At 39.2% G+C, this 27,989-nt stretch overlaps 1 protein-coding gene across 16 annotated transcripts in view, besides 1 other annotated feature; it reads left to right on the forward strand.

Moving 5' to 3' along the window:
- Positions 1 to 27,989, forward strand: part of DEUP1 (deuterosome assembly protein 1) — a 108,473-nt gene extending 80,484 nt beyond the window's left edge. For 8 of the 16 annotated variants that reach the window (XM_011542631.3, XM_047426455.1, XM_011542630.2 and 5 more), the window contains 2 exons: positions 4,519 to 4,633; positions 27,062 to 27,989. In XM_011542631.3, the coding sequence (XP_011540933.1) occupies positions 4,519 to 4,633; positions 27,062 to 27,238 (292 nt within the window). In that variant the 3' untranslated portion in view covers positions 27,239 to 27,989. Of the gene's footprint in view, positions 1 to 507; positions 742 to 4,518; positions 4,634 to 21,756; positions 22,025 to 24,312; positions 24,560 to 27,061 lie in introns of those variants that run through there. The other 8 variants (XR_947798.3, XR_007062457.1, XM_011542633.3 and 5 more) reach the window with 5 other exon arrangements.
- Positions 10,796 to 11,435: an enhancer, noted in NCBI's record as "OCT4-NANOG-H3K27ac-H3K4me1 hESC enhancer chr11:93154443-93155082 (GRCh37/hg19 assembly coordinates)". NCBI's record gives its function as "activates a minimal SCP1, AML or CMV promoter by ChIP-STARR-seq in primed H9 embryonic stem cells {active_cell/tissue: H9 hESC(primed)}" and the evidence as "EXISTENCE:reporter gene assay evidence [ECO:0000049][PMID:30033119]".

Raw genomic sequence — 27,989 nt, forward strand, 5'->3', positions numbered from 1 at the left:
TTCATTCTCCATTGGTCAAATTATGACTCCCATGTACTGTATATAGTTGCCTCATTGCGAGAGAAAAGCAAACCCATGAAGAACACTATAAAGGGTCACCTGCGTATGTTAGTCACTGATCTGTATTGAGCACCCACTGGGTACAGAACACTATTTCCTGTTCGTGCTAGTTGAGAATAACTTTGAAAGCTTTAGATGGAGATACCAGGTGTTGTTATTTAAACAAAAAGACAGTTACTCTGCCTTTTATTATTTTTAGAAAGTATTTTTATTGTTTGGGTTGCCCCCTTTTTTCTCTTTGTCAGGCAGTACAGAATGTGTTAAAAGTATCTAACAAAAACAAGACAGTAGGGGACACAAAAAGCAACATAAGAGGTAAAATGCTCAGCAGGAGATTATCCTAATAAGCAGTTTAGGCTGCTATTCCTGCTGCAAAGCCTTGTGTCCTGCCAGTTTCATTTGTTGAAAGTTTCATTAAATTTGTTTTAATGCCTTGTCTGATTTCAGTGTTTTCCAGTGACCTGTTTTTTAAAAGAAACAGTATTTCAAATGTTCTGAATAAATTATTACCATGTAAATCCTACTGTGGGGAAAGAGTTGTTGAGATGCAAGGACACTGTGAACTCACCAGTGAAGAGCTGCAAAGCAGATATCTCTCTGTTAATGCTAGCAACTGAAAAATGAAATCATCTTTTTTTCCCTCACAACACAGCTCAGTGAAGTGAAACAGTAAAAAACTATGTATGTATATTTGTTAGGCATAAATTAATCAAAAACATACAAAGTATCTTTACATATCAATGGCTAATGCAGTGAGGTCTTGTTAAAGTATTTGAGGAAGGAAAAAGCATTTAGATAAAAGTGTATGAAGAAAATGTTCCACAAAATGTTAAGATTCATAGTCTAATTTTAAGGCAATTCTTACTTTTAACTGAGGAAGACTTATATAATACATTCTTAACCTTTTATTCACTCTGAAGCAACTCGGTTTTGTTGTTTTTAATGCTCACTCACTTAAAATGTGAAGCATTTTAGGATATTCTAAAGCATTTGCTTTCTAGTAAGACAGCTACTTAGCACTTTCTTAAAAAATATGAGTGAGAGGTGATTGAATTTGGTGTGGATGTTTTAAATATTGTTTTTAAAAGTTAGAGTTTTGAAGTTTCAGGATAATTTACAAGCTAATTTGGAGTAGTGGTATCCAGAGCTATTAATATGTAACTAATTTTAATGACAAATCAATTTTGTAATAAATGGAGTTTTATCTCTATATAAGACACATACTTAAAAATGAATTTATGATTTTAAAAGTTGTATCATGTACTAGACAGATTTTAGCAGTCAAACAATCATTAAAATGGCTTCAAGTCTAGCTAATAAATTAAGAGTTTCTAATACTAAAAAACCACAGTCAGCAGGTTTGTAATAACCACTCACAAGATCTCTTGTCAAGGAATGAATAGACATCTAGAAGCCTGAATCTGAGAATGTTTGTACTGTGGTTTTGCTCAATAAGGAGCAAAACATAGGTTGACAGTTCTAGTACAGGAAACAATGAGCAGTTCATGGAATAGGGAGTTTAGTGGAGTGTTGGAAGGTGAGGCTGGAAAAAGGTAAAGAAGGAATCTTGCTCCATGCTAAGGACATTATCCTATGGCCAAGGGGAATATTAATGGAGGGACAGGACTGGATGTACATGTCCAACAAAGCTGAAAATTGTGAAGTGTTGACTCAAGTCTCAAGTGGACAGAGTTCTGTTCCCCAGCAAAGCAACTGGGGCCTGCTATCCTGGTGAAATCACGCAGCAGCCTTGGAATAGGCCTGTGGAAAAGATCATTGAACAGATCAGCTTGTGAGAGGATATTAAAAGCCTTCCAAAATCATTTTTAAGATAGCTTTTAAATTGATATGCATAGCACTTTATGCAAGGTGGTTTTATGAAGTATTTGAATAGCTGTATTCTTGAAGAAGAACTTGTCAGATATAAAGGTGATTTAAAACAAAAGTACTTTACTTCATAATGTCGTCTCTACATTTTATTGATCTTACACTAAAAAGAATGTCCCTATATAAATGTTAGTAATTAACACCATAAAACTTTATCTGTACATCCAAAGCAAAATGGATAACTAAGATAATTATTTAGATAATTTAGCACAAATAATACTTTGCCTGAAATCTCTGTGAGATAACAGAGAGATATATACTTCTTGAATCGCTACTAATTTTTTTTCACCGTGCTTTGAAGTATAGACAGTAACCTCACTCAAAAGGTTCAGCTAAAGATTATATGCAGATATACTATGCAAATGTTATAATTCTACTTGAATTGTGAGATGTTTCATCTTATGGTGCACATCATAAACCATGTTATTTCAGTTTAATTTGCTGTTCTGTTTCCATGGTAATTATAGTTTGGGAGAATGAGTAAAAAAAAAAGATACATCTCAAGATAAGCAAAAATGGAAAACATGTTGTATTTGTTTTTGTGTACTAATTTACAGATGCCTCACTTAACTTTTAATGCTATTTGTATGCATAGCTTTGAAAATATGATTTGTATAATAAGAAACAAGTCTGTAAATTAGATAGTCTTTGGATAAGACCAGAGAAAAGTAATGTGAAAAATTTTTTAACTAGGTTAAATTAAACTATGAAGGCTTTGAAAAGGGCTAATCAATACCTGTGGAGAATTTGAACCATTAGTAAAAATAAATAATTTCAAATTGAAGGGATTTTCGTTTTGATGGTCTTTGATGATTTTTTTTTTTTTTTTTTGAGACGGAGTCTCTCTCTGTCGCCCAGGCTGGAGTGCAGTGGCGCAATCTCGGCTCACTGCAAGCTCCGCCTCCCGGGTTCACGCCATTCTCCTGCCTCAGCCTCCTGAGTAGCTGGGACTACAGGCGCCCGCCATCACGCCAGGCTAATTTTTTTGTATTTTTAGTAGCGACGGGGTTTCACCATGTTAGCCGAGATGGTCTCGATCTCCTGACCTCGTGATCTGCCTGCCTCAGCCTCTCAAAGTGCTGGGATTACAGGCGTGAGCCACTGGGCCCAGCCTCTTTGATGATTTTATTACATCTAAACCTCAGTTTCATGAAAGATATTTATTTAATCCCAAACAGCCCATACTTTTAGGACCTTTTTTGTAAAACTTTAGGATAAATTGGTTTGTTACATGTTTTCTTATTCATTTGCTTAGTCAACAAACCAAAATTCAAAATCTCAATGTTATTGTTTTCAGTCTCATTTTCTAACCTATGTTTTAGCACAAACAAATTCCATGCTGTATGACTTTCACTGAAATAGTGGGGTTTTTTAAGTCAAGAAAATCTGGATTTGAGTCCAAAATCTAAAGACATCACTTCCTAGCAATTTATTCTGATTTAAAAAGTAAATAATTAGACGAATAATTGAACTTTTAAATCTTAGTCTCCTCATCTGTGGATAGTATCCAGCGTATTAGGGTTATTTTGAAGATCAGATTAGTTTAATAATAATAATACCTAATCTTTACTAAACATTTACTATGTGCCAGGCATTGTTTTCTAAGTGTTTTACATATATTAATCATTCAACTCTCATAACAACCCTTTTATAAGTGAGAAAATTAAAATCACAGAGAGATAAAGTTACCTGCTCAAGATCACACAACTAGTAACTGGAGGAGCTTAGGAGATGGTGTAAATTGAAAGCATGTTTTAAATTATCAAAATCTATAGAAATTAGAGTTATTCAAAGACTTGTTGGCTGGGCGCACGGTGACTCATGCCTGTAATCCCAGCACTTTGGGAGGCCAACGCAGGCGAATCACAAGGTCAGGAGATCGAGACCATCCTGGCTAACATGGTGAAGCCCCATCTCTACTAAAAATACAGAAAATTACCCTGGCGTGGTGGCGGGCGCCTATAATCCCAGCTACTCAGGAGACAGGAGAGTCTCTTGAACCTGGGAGGCGGAGGTTGCAGTGAGCTGCGATCGCGCCACTGCACTCCAGCCTAGGCGACAGAGCAAGGCTCTGTCTCAAAATAAATTAATAAATAAATAAATAAAATAAAAGACTTGTTTAGCATAAAAAATAGTATAATTCTGTTAAGAAAGCCAGTGAGGTTAAGTGTAAAAGAGAATAGAAAAAGAGTATCTATTTAGAACTGTCAAGGGCAACAGTGTAATTACCTGTTTGGAGACTTTTCTCAAACTGCTTTACATTATTAAAATAAATGACAAAGACATAGAAAAGTATAACACAGAAAGGGAAGCAATATAGGCAATAAGGATCACAAAATATTTTTAACAGTTGTTAAGTTTTCTGCTTCATTTTTAATCATTCTAAGTCCTTTAAATGAAATAGAAATTATTCATCAGGAAAGTCATATTCAAAGAAACACCCAGGTAACAAGCCCAAACATTTTGTTGTGCTTTCCCCCTACTTGGACATCTGAGAGATTAAAATCCTTAGCTACATAAATAAACATGTGTCCTTGATAGCAACAACAACAACCATTTCTTCTCTTTTAGACTTAGTCATGACTGTGAGCCAAACAGAAGTACAATGCCTCCCTTGCCACCTTCGACATTTCAAGCCAAAGAAATGACAAGTCCTTTGGTTAGTGATGATGATGTATTCCCACTGGTGAGTTGCTGGTTGTGGGCTTTTTTTTTCTTTAATGGGTTATTGCTTTACTCTTACACTGATGTCAATAAACTGACGTACATAGTAGTTCGTTTGTTTTTAATCTCACTCCTTGAATAGGACTCCAAGATGGGTCTGCGAGCCATTTGGCCATACCTATCTACAGAAGGAAAAGATATCCATAATATTTCCTAAAGTGTTTCAGTCAATGATTATTAACCTCTAATGCAGGCCAGAATTACTGGAGATGGTGTTTTTTAAAAAAAATGCGAGTGCTTGGGACTCACCCTTCAATATTCCATGAGTCCTCAAGGATCCGTATATTTTAAAGAGCTACAGTGATCTTTTGGACTGGTTTAAAACATCTTTTCTATTGACTCTGCCGTAAGTGTAGACACAGGTACAAATCATAAATGGACAGCTTGATGAGTTATCACAAAGGGAATGTAACTACCACCCAAGTAATGATCAGACATCCCCAGCACTCCAGAAGCCCCACTCATGTTCCCTTCCAGTCTCTACTTCTGCTTGCTCCCGACATAACCACTATCCTGACTTTTAGCATTATCGATTTGTTTTGCCAACTTGTAAATTTTATATAAATGATATCATATGATATATATTATTTTGTTTCTGGCTTCTTTTTCTCAACCTTGTTTTTTAGATTGATCATCACCCATATTGTTTTATACAGCTGTAGTTTATTTTTGTTTCTCTATACTAATCTATGGGATATAAATACCACATTCAATGACAATAAAATTCATTCATTCATTCTACTATGGATGGACATTTGAGTCATTTCCAATTTGGGGCTATTACAAATACTGCTGCCAAAAAATTCTTTTATGAGTCTTTTGGTGCATGTGTATATACATTTCCACTGGGTATGCATACCTAAAATGGAATACCGAGGTCATAGGATATGAATATGGTCAGCTTTAGTAGGTACCGCCAAACTATTTTCCTGTAGGAGCCAATGAATATCTCAAGTAGCGTATAAGAGTTGTCCTTGCTCAGAGCAAACACTTGCAAAAGCTAGCAGAAGGCAAGAAATAACCAAAATCAGAGCAGAACTGAAGGAAATAGAGACACAAAAAACTCTTCAAAAAATTAATGAATCCAGGAGCTTGTTTTTTGAAAGGATCAACAAAATTGATAGACTGCTAACAAGACTAATAAAGAAAAAAAGAGAGAAGAATCAAATAGATGCAATAAAAAATGATAAAGGGGATATCACCACCGATCCCACAGAAATACAAACTACCATCAGAGAATACTACAAACACCTCTACGCAAATAAACTAGAAAATCCAGAAATGGATAAATTCCTCGACACATACACTCTCCCAAGACTAAACCAGGAAGAAGTTGAATCTCTGAATAGACCAATAACAGGATCTGAAATTGTGGCAATAATCAATAGCTTACCAACCAAAAAGAGTCCAGGACCAGATGGATTCACAGCCAAATTCTACCAGAGGTACAAGGAGGAACTGGTACCATTCCTTCTGAAACTATTCCAATCAATAGAAAAAGAGGGAATCCTCCCTAACTCATTTTATGAGGCCAGCATCATCCTGATACCAAAGCCTGGCAGAGACACAACCAAATAAGAGAATTTTAGACCAATATCCTTGATAAACATTGATGCAAAAATCCTCAATAAAATACTGGCAAACCAAATCCAGCAGCACATCAAAAAGCTTATCCACCATGATCGAGTGGGCTTCATCCCTGGGATGCAAGGCTGGTTCAATATACGCAAATCAATAAATGTAATCCAGCATACAAATGGGACCAAAGACAAAAACCACATGATTATCTCAATAGATTCAGAAAAAGCATTTGACAAAATTCAACAACACTTCATGCTAAAAACTCTCAATAAATTAGGTATACATGGGACGTATCTCAAAATAATAAGAGCTATCTATGACAAACCCATAGCCAATATCATACTGAATGGGCAAAAACTGGAAGCATTCCCTTTGAAAACTGGCACAAGACAGGGATGCCCTCTCTCACCACTCCTATTCAACATAGTGTTGGAAGTTCTGGCCAGGGCAATTAGGCAGGAGAAGGAAATAAAGGGTATTCAATTAGGAAAAGAGGAAGTCAAATTGTCCCTGTTTGCAGATGACATGATTGTATATCGAGAAAACCCCATTGTCTCTGCCCAAAATCTCCTTAAGTTGATAAGCAACTTCAGCAAACTCTCAGGATACAAAATCAATGTGCAAAAATCACAAGCATTCTTATACACCAATAACAGACAAACAGAGAGCCAAATCATGAGTGAACTCCCATTCACAATTGCTTCAAAGATAATAAAATACCTAGGAATCCAACTTACAAGGGAAGTGAAGGACCTCTTCAGGGAGAACTACAAACCACTGCTCAATGAAATAAAAGAGGATACAAACAAATGGAAGAACATTCCATGCTCATGGGTAGGAAGAATCAATATCATGAAAATGGCCATACTGCCCAAGGTAATTTATAGATTCAGTGCCATCCCCATCAAGCTACCAATGACTTTCTTCACAGAATTGTAAAAAACTACTTTAAAGTTCATATGGAACCAAAAAAGAGCCCTCATCGCCAAGTCAATCCTAAGCCAAAAGAACAAAGCTGGAGGCATCATGCTACCTGACTTCAAACTATACTACAAGGCTACAGTAACCAAAACAGCATGGTACTGGTACCAAAACAGAAATATAGATCAATGGAACATAACAGAGCCCTCAGAAATAATACCGCATATCTACAACTATCTGATCTTTGACAAACCTGAGAAAAACAAGCAATGGGGAAAGGATTCCCTATTTAATAAATGGTGCTGGGAAAACTGGCTAGCCATATGTAGAAAGCTGAAACTGGATCCCTTCCTTATACCTTATACAAAAATCAATTCAAGATGGATTAAAGACTTAAACGGTAGACCTAAAACCATAAAAACTGTAGAAGAAAACCTAGGCATTACCATTCAGGACATAGGCACGGGCAAGGACTTCATGTCTAAAACACCAAAAGCAATGGCAACAAAAGCCAAAATTGACAAATGGGATCTAATTAAACTAAAGAGCTTCTGCACAGCAAAAGAAACTACCATCAGAGCGAACAGGCAACCTACAAAATGGGAGAAAATTTTCGCAACCTACTCATCTGACAAAGGGCTAATATCCAGAATCTACAATCAACTCAAACAAATTTACAAGAAAAAAACAAACAACCCCATCAAAAAGTGGGCGAAGGACATGAACAGACACTTCTCAAAAGAAGACATTTATGCAGCCAAAAAACACATGAAAAAATGCTCACTATCACTGGCCATCAGAGAAATGCAAATCAAAACCACAATGCGATATCATCTCACACCAGTTAGAATGGCAATCATTAAAAAGTCAGGAAACAACAGGTGCTGGAGAGGATATGGAGAAATAGTAACACTTTTACACTGTTGGTGGGACTGTAAACTAGTTCAACCATTGTGGAAGTCAGTGTGGCGATTCCTCAGGGATCTAGAACTAGAAATACCATTTGACCCAGCCATCCCATTCCTGGGTATATACCCAAAGGACTATAAATCATGCTGCTATAAAGACACATGCACACGTATGTTTATTGCGGCACTATTCACAATAGCAAAGACTTGGAACCAACCCAAATGTCCAACAATGATAGACTGGATTAAGAAAATGTGGCACATATACATCATGGAATGCTATGCAGCCATAAAAAATGATGAGTTCATGTCCTTTGTAGGGATATGGATGAAGTTGGAAATCATCATTCTCAGTAAACTATCGCAAGAACAAAAAACCAAACACTGCATATTCTCACTCATAGGTGGGAATTGAACAATGAGAACACATGGACACAGGAAGGGGAACATCACACTCTGGGGACTGTTGTGGGGTGGCGGGAGGGGGGAGGGATAGCATTGGGAGATATACCTAATGCTAGATGACGAGTTAGTGGGTGCAGTGCACCAGCATGTCACATGTATACATATGTAACTAACCTGCACATTGTGCACATGTACCCTAAAACTTAAAGTATAATAATAAAAAAAAAAAAGACAGAACTGTGGCTTGGATAGCAGCAAGACAGGCAGATCCCCACACTGCTACTGCTCAGACCCAAGGCTTATACAGCTTCAGGAAAGCAGATGCGCTCTTCAGCAAGACAATTAAAGGCAACCTTCCAGAACAGGCAAGAATGTGCTGTGTGTCATAGCCTGTACTTTGTATGATAGCATCAAGGTTGCTTTGTTCTTATGCTAGTTGAAGTAAACATTAATAAAGTGAAAACCAGGAGGCAGTCATGGGGCTAATCAGAAGTCAACATGGCAGATTAGCATTCAAAGTGGAGTCACTTTTGCCTCCCCTGGTGCTGACATTGAAATGGGTCAAACCACCTAGTTTTATTTTCTAGGCACCACCAACTATGAGTTGCATGACTTTGCACAAGGTATTTAGCCTTTCTCATTTCCGTTTCCAGAGATGAAATCGATCTCAAGGGGCATTTTAAGGAGTAGTTTCAAGTTTTAAAGGAGATTAAATATATTAAAGTTTTTCAAGAACTGCAAAGTACTGTATAAAGAACTATTACTGTTTGTGTTTATGTCAACAGTTGGACTTCTTTACTCTTTATGTTGGCATGAGAAATTTTCCTTCTCATGTTTTCCATTTTCTGGGAAAAAAATAAAAATAAACAAAACACCTTCAAAAAAATAATAAAATAAAATAAAATAAAATAAAAATTAAAAAAAAAACAGGCTCTGAAATTGTGGCAATAATCAATAGCTTACCAACCAAAAAAGGTCCAGGACCAGATGGATTCACAGCCGAATTCTACCAAAGGTACAAGGAGGAGCTGGTACCCTTCCTTCTGAAACCATTCCAATCAATAGAAAAAGAGGGAATCCTCCCTAACTCATTTTATGAGGCCAGCATCATCCTGATACCAAAGCCTGGCAGAGACACAACCAAATAAGAGAATTTTAGACCAATATCCTTGATGAACATTGATGCAAAAATCCTCAATAAAATACTGGCAAACCAAATCCAGCAGCACATCAAAAAGCTTATCCACCATGATCAAGTGGGCTTCATCCCTGGGATGCAAGGCTGGTTCAACATACGCAAATCAATAAATGTAATCCAGCATATAAACAGAACCAAAGACAAAAACCACATGATTATCTCAATAGATGCAGAAAAGGCCTTTGACAAAATTCAACAATGCTTCATGCTAAAAACTCAATAAATTAGGTATTCATGGGACGTATCTCAAAATCATAAGAGCTATCTATGACAAACCCATAGCCAATATCATACTGAATGGGCAAAAACTGGAAGCATTCCCTTTGAAAACTGGCACAAGACAGGGATGCCCTCTCTCACCACTCCTATTCAACATAGTGTTGGAAGTTCTGGCCAGGGCAATTAGGCAGGAGAAGGAAATAAAGGGTATTCAATTAGGAAAAGAGGAAGTCAAATTGTCCCTGTTTGCAGATGACATGATTGTATATCGAGAAAACCCCATTGTCTCTGCCCAAAATCTCCTTAAGTTGATAAGCAACTTCAGCAAACTCTCAGGATACAAAATCAATGTGCAAAAATCACAAGCATTCTTATACACCAATAACAGACAAACAGAGAGCCAAATCATGAGTGAACTCCCATTCACAATTGCTTCAAAGATAATAAAATACCTAGGAATCCAACTTACAAGGGATGTGAAGGACCTCTTCAAGGAGAACTACAAACCACTGCTCAATGAAATAAAAGAGGATACAAACAAATGGAAGAACATTCCATGCTCATGGGTAGGAAGAATCAATATCATGAAAATGGCCATACCGGATGGCCGAATAGGAACAGCTCCGGTCTACAGCTCCCAGCGTGAGCGACGCAGAAGACGGTGATTTCTGCATTTCCATCTGAGGTACCGGGTTCATCTCACTAGGGAGTGCCAGACAGTGGGCGCAGGCCAGTGTGTGTGCGCACCGTGCGCGAGCCGAAGCAGGGCGAGGCATTGCCTCACCTGGGAAGCGCAAGGGGTCAGGGAGTTCCCTTTCCGAGTCAAAGAAAGGGGTGACGGTCGCACCTGGAAAATCGGGTCACTCCCACCCGAATATTGCGCTTTTCAGACCGGCTTAAGAAACGGCGCACCACGAGACTATATCCCACACCTGGCTCGGAGGGTCCTACGCCCACGGAATCTCGCTGATTGCTAGCACAGCAGTCTGAGATCAAACTGCAAGGCGGCAACGAGGCTGGGGGAGGGGCGCCCGCCATTGCCCAGGCTTGCTTAGGTAAACAAAGCAGCCGGGAAGCTCGAACTGGGTGGAGCCCACCACAGCTCAAGGAGGCCTGCCTGCCTCTGAAGGCTCCACCTCTGGGGGCAGGGCACAGACAAACAAAAAGACAGCAGTAACCTCTGCAGACTTAAGTGTCCCTGTCTGACAGCTTTGAAGAGAGCAGTGGTTCTCCCAGCACGCAGCTGGAGATCTGAGAACGGGCAGACAGACTGCCTCCTCAAGTGGGTCCCTGACTCCTGACCCCCGAGCAGCCTAACTGGGAGGCACCCCCCAGCAGGGGCACACTGACACCTCACACGGCAGGGTATTCCAACAGACCTGCAGCTGAGGGTCCTGTCTGTTAGAAGGAAAACTAACAACCAGAAAGGACATCTACACCGAAAACCCATCTGTACATCACCATCATCAAAGACCAAAAGTAGATAAAACCACAAAGATGGGGAAAAAACAGAACAGAAAAACTGGAAACTCTAAAACGCAGAGCGCCTCTCCTCCTCCAAAGGAACGCAGTTCCTCACCAGCAACAGAACAAAGCTGGATGGAGAATGATTTTGACGAGCTGAGAGAAGAAGGCTTCAGACGATCAAATTACTCTGAGCTACGGGAGGACATTCAAAACAAAGGCAAAGAAGTTGAAAACTTTGAAAAAAATTTAGAAGAATGTATAACTAGAATAACCAATACAGAGAAGTGCTTAAAGGAGCTGATGGAGCTGAAAACCAAGGCTCGAGAACTACGTGAAGAATGCAGAAGCCTCAGGAGCCGATGCGATCAACTGGAAGAAAGGGTATCAGCAATGGAAGATGAAATGAATGAAATGAAGCGAGAAGGGAAGTTTAGAGAAAAAAGAATAAAAAGAAATGAGCAAAGCCTCCAAGAAATATGGGACTATGTGAAAAGACCAAATCTACGTCTGACTGGTGTACCTGAAAGTGATGTGGAGAATGGAACCAAGTTGGAAAACACTCTGCAGGATATTATCCAGGAGAACTTCCCCAATCTAGCAAGGCAGGCCAACGTTCAGATTCAGGAAATACAGAGAACGCCACAAAGATACTCCTCGAGAAGAGCAACTCCAAGACACATAATTGTCAGATTCACCAAAGTTGAAATGAAGGAAAAAATGTTAAGGGCAGCCAGAGAGAAAGGTCGGGTTACCCTCAAAGGAAAGCCCATCAGACTAACAGCGGATCTCTCGGCAGAAACCCTACAAGCCAGAAGAGAGTGGGGGCCAATATTCAACATTCTTAAAGAAAAGAATTTTCAACCCAGAATTTCATATCCAGCCAAACTAAGCTTCATAAGTGAAGGAGAAATAAAATACTTTATAGACAAGCAAATGTTGAGAGATTTTGTCACCACCAGGCCTGCCCTAAAAGAGCTCCTGAAGGAAGCGCTAAACATGGAAAGGAACAACCGGTACCAGCCGCTGCAAAATCATGCCAAAATGTAAAGACCATCGAGACTAGGAAGAAACTGCATCAACTAATGAGCAAAATCACCAGCTAACATCATAATGACAGGATCAAATTCACACATAACAATATTAACTTTAAATATAAATGGACTAAATTCTGCAATTAAAAGACACAGACTGGCAAGTTGGATAAAGAGTCAAGACCCATCAGTGTGCTGTATTCAGGAAACCCATCTCACGTGCAGAGACACACATAGGCTCAAAATAAAAGGATGGAGGAAGATCTACCAAGCCAATGGAAAACAAAAAAAGGCAGGGGTTGCAATCCTAGTCTCTGATAAAACAGACTTTAAACCAACAAAGATCAAAAGAGACAAAGAAGGCCATTACATAATGGTAAAGGGATCAATTCAACAAGAGGAGCTAACTATCCTAAATATTTATGCACCCAATACAGGAGCACCCAGATTCATAAAGCAAGTCCTCAGTGACCTACAAAGAGACTTAGACTCCCACACATTAATAATGGGAGACTTTAACACCCCACTGTCAACATTAGACAGATCAACGAGACAGAAAGTCAACAAGGATACCCAGGAATTGAACTCAGCTCTGCACCAAGCAGACCTAATAGACATCTACAGAACTCTCCACCCCAAATCAACAGAATATACCTTTTTTTCAGCACCACACCACACCTATTCCAAAATTGACCACATAGTTGGAAGTAAAGCTCTCCTCAGCAAATGTAAAAGAACAGAAATTATAACAAACTATCTCTCAGACCACAGTGCAATCAAACTACAACTCAGGATTAAGAATCTCACTCAAAGCCGCTCAACTACATGGAAACTGAACAACCTGCTCCTGAATGACTACTGGGTACATAACGAAATGAAGGCAGAAATAAAGATGTTCTTTGAAACCAACGAGAATAAAGACACCACATACCAGAATCTCTGGGACGCATTCAAAGCAGTGTGTAGAGGGAAATTTATAGCACTAAATGCCTACAAGAGAAAGCAGGAAAGATCCAAAATTGACACCCTAACATCACAATTAAAAGAACTAGAAAAGCAAGAGCAAACACATTCAAAAGCTAGCAGAAGGCAAGAAATAACTAAAATCAGAGCAGAACTGAAGGAAATAGAGACACAAAAAACCCTTCAAAAAATCAATGAATCCAGGAGCTGGTTTTTTGAAAGGATCAACAAAATTGATAGACCGCTAGCAAGACTAATAAAGAAAAAAAGAGAGAAGAATCAAATAGACACAATAAAAAATGATAAAGGGGATATCACCACCGATCCCACAGAAATACAAACTACCATCAGAGAATACTACAAACACCTCTACGCAAATAAACTAGAAAATCTAGAAGAAATGGATACATTCCTCGACACATACACTCTCCCAAGACTAAACCAGGAAGAAGTTGAATCTCTGAATAGACCAATAACAGGCTCTGAAATTGTGGCAATAATCAATAGTTTACCAACCAAAAAGAGTCCAGGACCAGATGGATTCACAGCCGAATTCTACCAGAGGTACATGGAGGAACTGGTACCATTCCTTCTGAAACTATTCCAATCAATAGAAAAAGAGGGAATCCTCCCTAACTCATTTTATGAGGCCAGCATCATTCTGATACCAAAGCCGGGCAGAGACACAACCAAAAAAGAGAATTTTAGACCAATATCCTTGATGAACATTGATGCAAAAATCCTCAATAAAATACTGGCAAACCGAATCCAGCAGCACATCAAAAAGCTTATCCACCATGATCAAGTGGGCTTCATCCCTGGGATGCAAGGCTGGTTCAATATACGCAAATCAATAAATGTAATCCAGCATATAAACAGAGCCAAAGACAAAAACCACATGATTATCTCAATAGATGCAGAAAAAGCCTTTGACAAAATTCAACAACGCTTCATGCTAAAAACTCTCAATAAATTAGGTATTGATGGGACGTATTTCAAAATAATAAGAGCTATCTATGACAAACCCACAGCCAATATCATACTGAATGGGCAAAAACTGGAAGCATTCCCTTTGAAAACCGGCACAAGACAGGGATGCCCTCTCTCACCGCTCCTATTCAACATAGTGTTGGAAGTTCTGGCCAGGGCAATCAGGCAGGAGAAGGAAATAAAGGGTATTCAATTAGGAAAAGAGGAAGTCAAATTGTCCCTGTTTGCAGACGACATGATTGTATATCTAGAAAACCCCATCGTCTCAGCCCAAAATCTCCTTAAGCTGATAAGCAACTTCAGCAAAGTCTCAGGATACAAAATCAATGTACAAAAATCACAAGCATTCTTATACACCAACAACAGACAAACAGAGAGCCAAATCATGGGTGAACTCCCATTCACAATTGCTTCAAAGAGAATAAAATACCTAGGAATCCAACTTACAAGGGATGTGAAGGACCTCTTCAAGGAGAACTACAAACCACTGCTCAAGGAAATAAAAGAGGAGACAAACAAATGGAAGAACATTCCATGCTCATGGGTAGGAAGAATCAATATCGTGAAAATGGCCATACTGCCCAAGGTAATTTACAGATTCAATGCCATCCCCATCAAGCTACCAATGACTTTCTTCACAGAATTGGAAAAAACTACTTTAAAGTTCATATGGAACCAAAAAAGAGCCCGCATTGCCAAGTCAATCCTAAGCCAAAAGAACAAAGCTGGAGGCATCACACTACCTGACTTCAAACTATACTACAAGGCTACAGTAACCAAAACAGCATGGTACTGGTACCAAAACAGAGATATAGATCAATGGAACAGAACAGAGCCCTCAGAAATAATGCCACATATCTACAACTATCTGATCTTTGACAAACCTGAGAAAAACAAGCAATGGGGAAAGGATTCCCTATTTAATAAATGGTGCTGGGAAAACTGGCTAGCCATATGTAGAAAGCTGAAACTGGATCCCTTCCTTACACCTTATACAAAAATCAATTCAAGATGGATTAAAGATTTAAACGTTAAACCTAAAACCATAAAAACCCTAGAAGAAAACCTAGGCATTACCATTCAGGACATAGGCGTGGGCAAGGACTTCATGTCCAAAACACCAAAAGCAATGGCAACAAAAGACAAAATTGACAAATGGGATCTAATTAAACTAAAGAGCTTCTGCACAGCAAAAGAAACTACCATCAGAGTGAACAGGCAACCTACAACATGGGAGAAAATTTTCGCAACCTACTCATCTGACAAAGGGCTAATATCCAGAATCTACAATGAACTCAAACAAATTTACAAGAAAAAAACAAACAACCCCATCAAAAAGTGGGCGAAGGACATGAACAGACACTTCTCAAAAGAAGACATTTATGCAGCCAAAAAACACATGAAGAAATGCTCATCATCACTGGCCATCAGAGAAATGCAAATCAAAACCACTATGAGATATCATCTCACACCAGTTAGAATGGCAATCATTAAAAAGTCAGGAAACAACAGGTGCTGGAGAGGATGCGGAGAAATAGGAACACTTTTACACTGTTGGTGGGACTGTAAACTAGTTCAACCATTGTGGAAGTCAGTGTGGCGATTCCTCAGGGATCTAGAACTAGAAATACCATTTGACCCAGCCATCCCATTACTGGGTATATACCCAAATGAGTATAAATCATGCTGCTATAAAGACACATGCACACGTATGTTTATTGCGGCACTATTCACAATAGCAAAGACTTGGAACCAACCCAAATGTCCAACAATGATAGACTGGATTAAGAAAATGTGGCACATATACACCATGGAATACTATGCAGCCATAAAAAATGATGAGTTCATATCCTTTGTAGGGACATGGATGAAATTGGAAACCATCATTCTCAGTAAACTATCGCAAGAACAAAAAACCAAACACCGCATATTCTCACTCATAGGTGGGAATTGAACAATGAGATCACATGGACACAGGAAGGGGAATATCACACTCTGGGGACTGTGGTGGGGTCGGGGGAGGGGGGAGGGATAGCATTGGGAGATATACCTAATGCTAGATGACACATTAGTGGGTGCAGCGCACCAGCATGGCACATGTATACATATGTAACTAACCTGCACAATGTGCACATGTACCCTAAAACTTAGAGTATAATAAAAAAAAAAAAAAAAAGAAAAAAAAAAAAAAAAAAAGAAAATGGCCATACTGCCCAAGGTAATTTGTAGATTCAGTGCCATCCGCATCAAGCTACCAATGACTTTCTTCAAAAAATTGGAAGAAACTACTTTAAAGTTCATATGGAACCAAAAAAGAGCCCACATCGCCAAGTCAATCCTAAGCCAAAAGAACAAAGCTGGAGGCATCATGCTACCTGACTTCAAACTATACTACAAGGCTACAGTAACCAAAACAGCATGGTACTGGTACCAAAACAGAAATATAGATCAATGGAACATAACAGAGCCCTCAGAAATAATGCCGCATATCTACAACCATCTGATCTTTGACAAACCTGACAAAAATAAGCAATGGGGAAAGGATTCCCTATTTAATAAATGGTGCTGGGAAAACTGGCTAGCCATATGTAGAAAGCTGAAACTGCATCCCTTCCTTACACCTTATACAAAAATTAATTCAAGATGGATTAAAGAGTTAAATGTTAGACCTAAAACCATAAAAACCCTAGAAGAAAACCTAGGCAATACCATTCAGGACATAGGCATGGGCAAGGACTTCATGTCTAAAACACCAAAAGCAATGGCAACAAAAGCCAAAATTGACAAATGGGATCTAATTAAACTAAAGAGCTTCTGCACAGCAAAAGAAACTACCATCAGAGTGAACAGGCAACCTACAAAATGGGAGAAACTTTTCACAACCTACTCATCTGACAAAGGGCTAATATCCAGAATCTACAATCGACTCAAACAAATTTACAAGAAAAAAACAAACAACCCCATCAAAAAGTCGGCGAAGGTCATGAACAGACACTTCTCAAAAGAAGACATTTATGCAGCCAAAAAACACATGAAAAAATGCTCATCATCACTGCATCAGAGAAATGCAAATCAAAACCACAATGAGATACCATCTCATGCCAGTTAGAATGGCAATCATTAAAAAGTCAGGAAACAACAGGTGCTGGAGAGGATGTGGAGAAATAGGAACACTTTTACACTGTTGGTGGGACTGTAAACTAGTTCAACCATTGTGGAAGTCAGTGTGGCGATTCCTCAGGGATCTAGAACTAGATCCCTATATACCCAAAGGATTATAAATCATGCTGCTATAAAGACACATGCACATGTATGTTTATTGCGGCACTATTCACAATAGCAAAGACTTGGAACCAACCCAAATGTCCAACAATGATAGACTGGATTAAGAAAATGTGGCACATGTACACCATGGAATACTATGCAGCCATAAAAAATGATGAGTTCATGTCCTCTGTAGGGACATGGATGAAACTGGAAACCATCATTCTCAGCAAACTATCTCAAGAACAAAAAACCAAACACCACATGTTCTCACTCATTGATGGGCATTGAACAATGAGAATACATGGACACAGGAAAGGGAACATCACACTCTGGAGACTGTTGTGGGGTGGGGGGAGGTGGGAGGGATAGCATTAGGAGATATACCTAATGCTAAATGACGAGTTAATGGGTGCAGCACACCAACATGGCACATGTATACATATGTAACAAACCTGCACATTGTGCACATGTACCCTAAAACTTAAAGTATAATAATAATAAAATTAAAAAAAAGTTTTATAACAAAACCATCACATGTTTTAAGTGTACAATTCCAAGTTTTTAAAGTGTACTTACAGACAGCCATAATCACAATCTAATTTTGAAATAACCTTACCACTGTGGAAAAAGAAATTCATCTCTTTTGTATTTACTGATTTCATTACCCTGGTCATAGGCAATCATTAACCTGTTTTTATATATAAGCCTTTTATTAAAAGTTATTTTAAGTGAAATCATAAATTAAAAAGAAAAAGAGTTGTCCTTGCTCTACTGTCTAACACATGGTAATATAGGCCTTTTTAAATTTAGCTATTATGGTCAGTGTGTAGTAAGATCCTATTGTGTGGTTTTAATTCATGTTTCTCTGGTGAATAATGAGACTGAGCACCATTCATATGTTTATTGGCCATTTTGATATCCATTATAAAATATCCGTTCAATTTCCTCACTTAATTTTCTGTTGGATTGTCTTTATTATTATTGATTTATGGGTATCCTTTCTATTCTTGATATAAGCCCTTTGTTGCTTATATGTTGGTTTTGCCTTGTAATAGTAGAGACTAGAAGTAAAGTTAAGCTATTTTGGTAGAAGAATGCTTAAAACCATTAGCTTTTGAAGTATTAGAGATGTCTAAAGCCCTGAAATGCTCTTTTGTGTTCATCTCAACATAAAATGCCAACATTATTTGAACAGACTAAAATACATACCAATAATGTAAACTAAATAAAATTCCTCATTTAAGTTATGAGAAATTCTAAGGGGACTTTGCAAATTCTGCATCAATAAAACTTTGATCACTAAGGACTTAAAGTAAGCACATATTTCAGTCAAGCAATGGAAAAAGTTGCTAAATACTCCACTGTGCTAGTGTCAGATGATTTTAGGATTTTTAGGATCACAATTAGTGTCCGCTCAAATATCACCTTATCAGAGATGCCTAAGCAACCAGTCCACAATAGCACCTTCCTCTTCACTCCCTGCCCCTCATCTTGCCTTTTTTCATAGCACTTCACTATGAGACATTTTGTTGCTTGCCCTCCCTCCTTTAGAATGTATGCTCCATGAAAGCAGGGGGTGTTTTCTATTTTTGTTTTTGTGGTAACCCAACACCTAAAATAGGGTCAGCACTAGTAGGCACATAAAAGACATGCAGAAGTATCTGTTGATTTGATTTAATAACATGGGGCTTCCTTCTATCTCTAAAATTCTACATTACTCTTTTAAGGAATTCCTAACCTCCAGAGTAACCAGGAGAGAAAATTCTCAACTCTTCTAGGAACTGGGCATGGGGAACCTAATCTGTGATGGAGGCCTTAAAAATCCTACGGGAAGCCACTGTTCTAGGTCTAGTGGTTTCCATCTTCTAATGCATTTTGACATCCACATCAGTACCATTCCTATCAAGACTACTGCCGATCTTCTAGTTGCTAATTAAATGCACATTCTGAAGTATTCATCTTTCTTTCTTAATCTTGTTGTCTTGATACTCTTATGTTCTCTGGCTTCTATGACACTATACTCCGCTGATTCTCCTGCCACCCTCTGGCTACTGTTTCCCAGCCTGTTTCTAGGGTTCTCCCTCCTATTTCTGTCCCTTAAATATTAGTGTTATTTATTCATAAAATAAAATAAACATGTATTGAGCACCAACTATATGGCAGTTCCTGTTCTAAACATGTCTTTGAATAAGATAGACACATAAGTAGTATGGTGAAAAAAAAAGAGGAAACTTCATCAATGGATGAATGGATAATCAGATTGTGATATATACATACAATGGAATATTATTCAGCCATTAAAAGCAGCTATGCCAAAAAAGGCCAAAAATTACTACAATGTGGATGAGCCTCAAAAACATGTTAAGTGAAAGAAGCCAAACACAAAAGGCTATATTGTATAATTCCATGTATATGAAATAGCCAAATAGGTAAATGAAATCCACTGAAACAATGTAGATTGGTGGTTACCAGGGGCAGTGGGGAGGGAGAAACAAGGAGCAGTGGCTTAAGGAGTACAGAGTTTTCATTACGGATAATGAAACTATTTTGGAACTAGATAGAGATGGTGGTTGCACAACATTGTGAATGTACTAAATGCCACTGAACCACTCATTTTGAAATGGTTAATTGTATGTGAATTTTATCTCAAAAACAAACAAGAGGAGAAAAATTAATGATTGGAAATAAATGAACAAATAAGAAAATATCAAGGCCAGGCGCTGTGGCTCATGCCTATAATCCCAGCACTTTGGGAAGCCGAGGTGGTCAGATCACCTGAGGTCAGGAGTTCAAGACCAGGCTGGCCAACATGGTGAAGCCCCGTCTCTACTAAAAATACAAAAATTGGCTGGGCGTGGTGGCACATGCCTGTAGTCCCAGCTACTCCAGAAGCTGAGGCAAGAGAATCGCTTGAACCCGGGAAGCAGAGGTTGCAGTGAGCCGAGATAGGATCACTGCACTCCAGCCTGGGCAACAGAGCGAAACACTGTCTCAAAAAAAAAAAAAAAAAAAAGAAAGAAAGAAAATATCAAATAGTGATAAATGCTGTGATGAAAAGAAAAGCAGGTAATGTGATAGGGAGTGATGAAAGTATGGGGGATTACTTTAGGTTGAGTAGCCAGGAAAATTATCATTGAGAAAGGGAAATTTAAGGTGAAACCCAAACAACAGCAAATCCAGCCTTGCAAAGATCTGGTAGAAGAGAGTTTTAAGTAAGGGAACTATAAGGCAGGAACGAGTTTGGCAGGCATGAGAACCAGAAAGGTTGGGGGACCTTCTGGAGCTTAGAAGGGAAGAGGGAGACTGGAACAAAAGGGAACAGATAAGTTGTCAGGGGAAGTCCGATATATGAGGACAGTAGGTCATGGGAAGGAGTTTGGATTTTATTTTAAAACAATGGGAAGCCATTTTAAAGTTTCAGTTAGGAAAATACTGGTCTGTTTACTCCATTTCAAATTATTTTACTCTAATAATAAACAGATATGTTTAAAATTTTTAAAAGATCCTTTTTACTACTAAATAAAGAATAAATTATAGAGGGGCAAGGGTAGAAGAGGAGACAACTATTGTAAGGCTATTTCAGTAGCCTAGGCAAGAGATGATGCTGGCTTGGTAGCAGTGGAGATAGAGCAACATATTAGATCCAGGAAATATTCTGGTGTGTAGACCAGACTTGACAATGAATTGTTTATGGGAAGTGGGAGAAAAGAGTGATTAAAGATGACTCCTAGGATTTCAACCTGAGCATTGAGTAGATGCTAATACCACTTTCCGACATGGGAAGACTAGGGAAGAAATAGGGTTAGAGGAGTAATCATGATTTCTAGGTTGGGCATATAAGTTTAAAATGTTTACTAGACACCCAAACGTAGACATTAAATAGTCAATAGGATATGTGAATCTGATATTCGAGGGAGAGATCAAAGCTGGAAATACAAATGTGGGAATAATCGGCATATGGTTGGTATTTAAGTCTATAGAACTGGATGAAAATACTGAAGTATAAAAAAGAAATCATCCCAATACAAAGCCTTGGGTCATAATATTGAGTGACCTAATGGGAATCCTGAAGGACAGGAGGAAAGTTTGATAATGAAGAGGATGGGGCTCAAGGAGGGTCCTCTTTCATTTGCAGAAACAAAGTCACTGAGAGGTAAGAAGAAATAGGATCTGCAGTATAGGAGGAAGGATGAGTTTCTGAAACAGGAGGATGGCCTAAAATTCAGCTACAGATACAAATGGATGTGGAATAATGAGGGAGCTCCCCTCTGACTCCTAGGAGGAAGCCAGGCCACAACGTAATGAGTAAGAAAGTGAACATACTAGGGAAGTGCAATAGAATCGCCTTGCAGTGTTCACTGACCACATGATATTTATGGTCATGAATTTAAAGTGAAACTAGTCCATGCAGTAATTTACCCCCAACCTGTTGGCTCCAGCATTCAGCTGCTCAGGTGTAGGCAAGACCCGGGCAGATGGGCCAGCTTAATTAGGGGTGGGTTTTACCAGGTTATTAGGATAGAGACAAGATACAGGGGTTTACCAGGTAATGAGGATAGAGACAAGATACAGGGAGGGACAAGTTGCTGAATGGTTATGAGATGGACGGGAATAAGCAGAGTTAGGAAGAGAGAGTATGAGGAAGATGATGGATAGTGAAAAGTAAAGAGTCTAAATGAGGTCAGAGAAATGCTGGCGTGGGAGTACTAGATTAAGCATGCTGGAAGGATGATGGATAGGTTGCTTTAAATCTCAATTAGTAAATAATGCAGTTCTCATTGATGATAGTGTCAAGGACATGCTATGTGGGTGGATGCCTGACATGAAGGATTCTTCAGGGCTCCATCTTTTAACTTCTTTTTTTCCTTTTACTTGCCTATCTTGGATAATTTCAGTCAATCTCATGGCCTTGTCATCTATAACTTCCAAGTCTGTCTCTCTGATTCAGACCTATATTCTGAGTCCTAGATTGACATATCTCACTGTTTACTTGAGTCTGTTTAAGTCTCAAGTCACCTCAAACTCATTATTATTCAAAATTGAATCCATTTTCTTCATTCATAAACTAACTAAAAAATTTTATTGAAAACACACTGGCCTAGAATCTGTGCTAGAACCTGATGAATCAGAAATAAGTAAGAGGCCAGGAGCTGTGGCTCACACCTACAATCTCAGGCCAAGGCAAGAGGGATTGCTTGAGCCCAAGAGTTCAAGACCAGTCTGGGCAACATAATGAGGCTCCGTTTCTATAAAAACTTTTTTAAAAAAGAGCTGGGTGTGGTGGTGTGTGCCTATAGTCCCACCTACTCAGGAGGCTGAAGTGGGAGGATCACTTGAGCCCAGGAGCTGGAAGTTAAGAGTTAGCTGTGGTTGCACCACTGTGCTCCAGCCTGGGCAATAGAGCAAGACACTGTCTCTAAATCAATCAATCAATCAATCAATCCATAAAAAGAAAGAAAGAATATCTTACTCTTAATGGCTTCCTTTACCTTTTTCTCTTTCTCAGTAAATGGCATGAGTGTCACTAATCACTCAGGCCAGAATCTAGGAAGTCATCTCTCTGAGATCAGGTTTCCTAGAATCTGAGATGAGATTCTTGTGAAAGCGATTTACCGAGGGAGTATTTTAGTATTTTCAGGAGGAGAGTGAAGGAGACAGGCTAGGGAAGGGGAGGAAAATTAAGCAAAGATGTGGTCTGAGCTACAAACTAGTATAGCCTGGTGTCCCAGGAAGCTTGGCACATGAATTGCACCACAGCATTTGTTCTCACCAAACAAAAAGTTTGGTATTTTACGCCCCTGTGTCCATCAATCAGTCATTGCCTCAGAGAGGATAGCAAATGGGCAGAGGAGGGACTGCAGCCTCCCAGGTGAGGCAGGAGCCTCCAGTTCGGTGGAGGGCAGTTCCCCAAAGGAGCCAGCTGTGAGCTGTTAGTAGCCAACACCCACCCAGCTAGAGGAGAGATGCATCAGCCTGGGGAAGGGGATCCGGGTAGGGGACCAACCACCATGGTCAACCTGTTGCACCACTCAGAACCACCTTCTTCCATAGCTTCCATTCAGGCATAGCTTCTTCACGATTCTTGCTGGTCATAATTTCTGGAAAAACTGTTGAGAGGAAAGTTAGTGAGATAAGCCACAGCCCCTCATGCTGCAATTGGTCGCTGACACCTATCACTGCCTCACCCATTCTAGATTCCTCTCCCCGTCAGCCAACTCTTCTGTTGATCCAGGTGGCTTTTCTTTTGGGGTGAGCCCCTAATGTCCATGCCCTTATTAGGATATGGTTTCTGTATTTGCCAATTAAAATTAAAATTGGGCATGAGAGTACCAAAAGATGCCTCAGAGGATCATCAGAGTACCAAACACATTCCTCACTGCCTCTGTTATGCAGTAGCAATCTTAACTCTTCAGGATGACTTAGGGTCAGCTACCTCTGCCAATATAGGAACTCCACTCTGTGTGTCTGATCTGTTGGCATGAGGAGCCCAAAGTGACCACATGGGAGCCAAAGCTCTAAGTTTGGTGGGACTCTTACAGGTCTCTTGGTAGAAGCATTCCGCCTCTAAGAGCCAGGACCTGTAGAACAACAGAGCCTAAAGATACATAGACAGAAAGCACAGATTCTCCAAGTGGGTTAACAGAAGTGATAGAGAGTGAAGCCATTCCTACTTCCTCCCTTTTGTTCCCAGATCCATGTATTCTACCCATTGGAAACACAGAACCATAAAACAGCCATCGGTTTAAAGTCTATACCACATCCTGAAGAATGGCACCCCAACCTCACAGGATATAATCTCCAAGCTGGTGCCTCAGCTTTGCCCTCAAGAGGCCGTCCCAAAGCTCTATCATGTTAGCATCCTCTGGATAGTGCTGTGTGTGGTTAGGACCAGTGGATACCATGGTCGTGCCCCCACTGCCATACTCTTTTGCTATAAAGTAGGTACCTTTACTATTAAGCAGGGTCTCTCTCATGTCTGCAGATAAGTGATTCTGTGAGCCCTAAGATAGTGGTGCAGCCAGGAAAGGCAAACACGCAGAATTCATATCCATTCTGATAAGCATACAGCATTGCCCTTTCCAAGGTGCTAGGGACCTATTGCAGTCAAGTTGCCACCAAGAGGCTGGCTGGTCTCCTTGAGGGATGATGCCATATCAAGAGCTCAGCTTTGGTTTCTGTTGCAAGCAGGTCAGACATTCAACAGCAATAGCAGCTGGATTACCCTTGGTGAAAGGGGAAATCATGGTATTGGGATGATGCATAATTCCCACTGAGGTAGCCAAAGACAAAGGCTGGATCAAATCATCCTGTCCACTTGCTGGAGTCTCAACCAGGACTCAACAGCATGACAAGAATTGTCTTGCAAATAGTATATAGGTTTCTGCTACAGATAGCATAGCCTTGTTCCAGAATCTTAAGGGTCTGCAACACAGCTTTCCCGATGAAACTTGCCAGAGGCTCCACAAGGCATTTTTCTTTACCAGAGATTCTTCTAGTATGGGATCTACCAAGTTATTTGACCAAAGTAGCAGGACTACTTGTACCCTATCCTGAACCTCCTACACAGCTCTTTCTTTCCAGAGTTCTGGGCTTTCTCACAAAATAATTTTTTCACCAGGCATGGTGGCTCACGCCTGTAATCCCAGCACTTTGGGAGGCCGAGGAGGGCAGATCACGAGGTCAGGAGATCGAGACCATCCTGGCTAACATGGTGAAACCCCGTCTCTACTAAAAATACAAAAAATTAGCCGGGAGTGGTGGCGGGCGCCTGTAGTCCCAGCTACTCGGGAGGCTGAGGCAGGAGAATGGCGTGAACCCGGGAGGTGGAGCTTGCAGTGAGCCGAGATCACGCCACTGCACTCCAGTGTGGGCGACAGAGTGAGACTCCGTCTCAAAAAAAAAAAAAAAAAATTTTTTCTGTGTCACCCAATAAATGAATCAGATTATTCAATTATTTGATCCAAGGGTGGAACATTTTCAAGGTGCATTAATTTTTGCTTTACCTAGGATGTTCTGACATGCCACATAGCAGTAGACACCTAAAAACAATGTGTCAAGCCCCAATCTTTTATGGGGTTTATCTTTCACCTTCTGGAGTACATACATCTTTCCATCCCTTTAACATACTTGCCACTTCTTGCTCATCAAGTCTCATTAACATGATGTTAGTGTTAATATATGATGTTCCATGTGATAGTCTTTGGAATGTCCAGATGGGCTAGGCCCCTTCAGAATTTATTGTGACAGCTTCATTAACATAACTTTGGGGCAAAACCATGGATATATATTGTTGGCCACCACATGTGAATGCTAACTGCTTCCTATCCTCCTTTTTATTAGATATTAAAAAGAATGCATTTGCCAATATTAAAAATAATGCATTTGCCAGATCAATAGTAGCATACCATCTACCCCAGGCTGTGATAGTCTTCTCTAGTAGAGATACTATCCCTGACACAGCAGCTACAGTTGGGCCTACTGGTTGGAAAAGTGTGCAGTACTCCATCATTTGCATGATCCCTAGTTTTGGCAGGGGCCAGATTGGTGAACAAAATCCACCTAACAAGGTTCACATGTATACAGATTGTCGACTCCCCAAACACTACATAAAGTCCCATTCTTCCTACCAAAATGAAAATCAAAGAAGAATATAGCAACCACAGAACTGGAAAATTAAAGTACAGATTTCCCCAACAAAAAAAAATTACTTAATTTTTGTATGTGGCTTTTCAAAACGAAGAATTGTAAAATTATCTGATGTTGTCCTTTATTCTTTAGCCACAGATTTTTATTTTTTTTTAAATAAGCACTAAACAGGTCACAAACAATTAAATAGCATTTTCATGTCACCATGAAGGGTGGAATTGGGGCACTTGTCCCTGATACTTTCTTCTCTGTGATAAGACAAACAAGATACATGCCAGCATCAAGCCTTCCCTACTAGGGAGCCACCTCCACCCCAAGACACATCATGCAGCCAGCCCTCTCACCTGGCTAACTCCAAGCATTGATTCTCCCTGTCAAAGCCAATCCTTATTTTCTTCTCTATAAACTGTCTAGTGCAATTCCACTATAATCTTTACTTTAGCTTTTTGGAGTTGCCTATTTTCAAATGAAAATCATTGGCTTTGCAAATGATTGCAGCATGTTTTAGGCAGGTTCCATGGTGAGTGCATTGTCCCTGCATTTGCAGTTGGACAATATAACACTCATTTGTAGAGCTTTTTAATGTAATGGTGCTGTGATGTCTTACTTAGTTCCTTGAGGATTTCATTAGTGGTAACTGAATTACACTAGTAGTGGGAATTCAGCCCAGGATGTATTCTTTCATTAAGAGCTGCGGTGTTTGACAGTATGTCAGGGATGAAGCATGCCTGGAAATGGGAAGATTTTTTAAAGCTCTGTATTCCTCACTCACTTTTCTTTCTTTCTCTCTTTAGTCTCCCCCAGATATGTCCTTCCCAGCATCTTTGGCTGCACAGCATTTCCTTCTGGAAGAAGAGAAACGAGCAAAAGAACTTGAAAAACTTCTAAATACACATATTGATGAACTGCAAAGACACACAGAATTTACTCTTAATAAATACTCCAAGCTAAAACAAAATAGACACATATGAGCTTTTAAACTTTTTTATTTGCTTCCCCCCCCCACCCCCGCCAAGAAAAAAAGCTCTGGCAAAATATTTACAAAGCTGATTAATGAAACCAAGAAATTCTGTTCTGTTTCCTTGAGTAAATAATTTCCGTAAGGCAGCTAGAAAATAGTAAGTATTTTGTTCTATAAAGCTGTTCACATTTCTGCATTAACATGCTAAATTGTCCTGCTGTAGAGTTACTATAAAATAAACATGACTATTCCAAAAGAGATTTTTTTCCAGTCTAAGGAATATTTTGGAATCAAATATGCAGTTTTTTTTCCCCACTTGAATCATGTATACTGAAAACCCATTTCCTCAGCAACTACACAAAATAAGAGAAAGGGAAGTGCTATATTCCAGATACAAATGACTCAAAGGCAGCTCAGTTGTACTGGTTTTGAAAACTCAAGGATTTTATAAATAAAAATATTTAAGTATTTCCAGTTATGTAAACACTCTAAAATTCTATAATTTTTTGGAAAAAAAAAGCTATAGCTTTATTGTTTTTACATTCACCTTTATAATGTCTGTCTGTTTCAACACAATGAAGGTATATGGAATGTGCAATTTACAAACCTAAAATATATGTGCCAAAAATTAACGCTTTTTTGTTAGTACTAATTACTTCATGGACACAAACAAGATAAAGGAAATATAAAGCATTACTGTTGCTACATTTTCCTTTGTAATCACTTCTGTTTTTAATACAATAAAGGAATGTAAAATTCAA

The sequence above is a fragment of the Homo sapiens genome, chromosome 11, assembly GCF_000001405.40.
Source record: "Homo sapiens chromosome 11, GRCh38.p14 Primary Assembly".
Taxonomy (NCBI): Eukaryota; Metazoa; Chordata; class Mammalia; order Primates; family Hominidae; genus Homo; species Homo sapiens.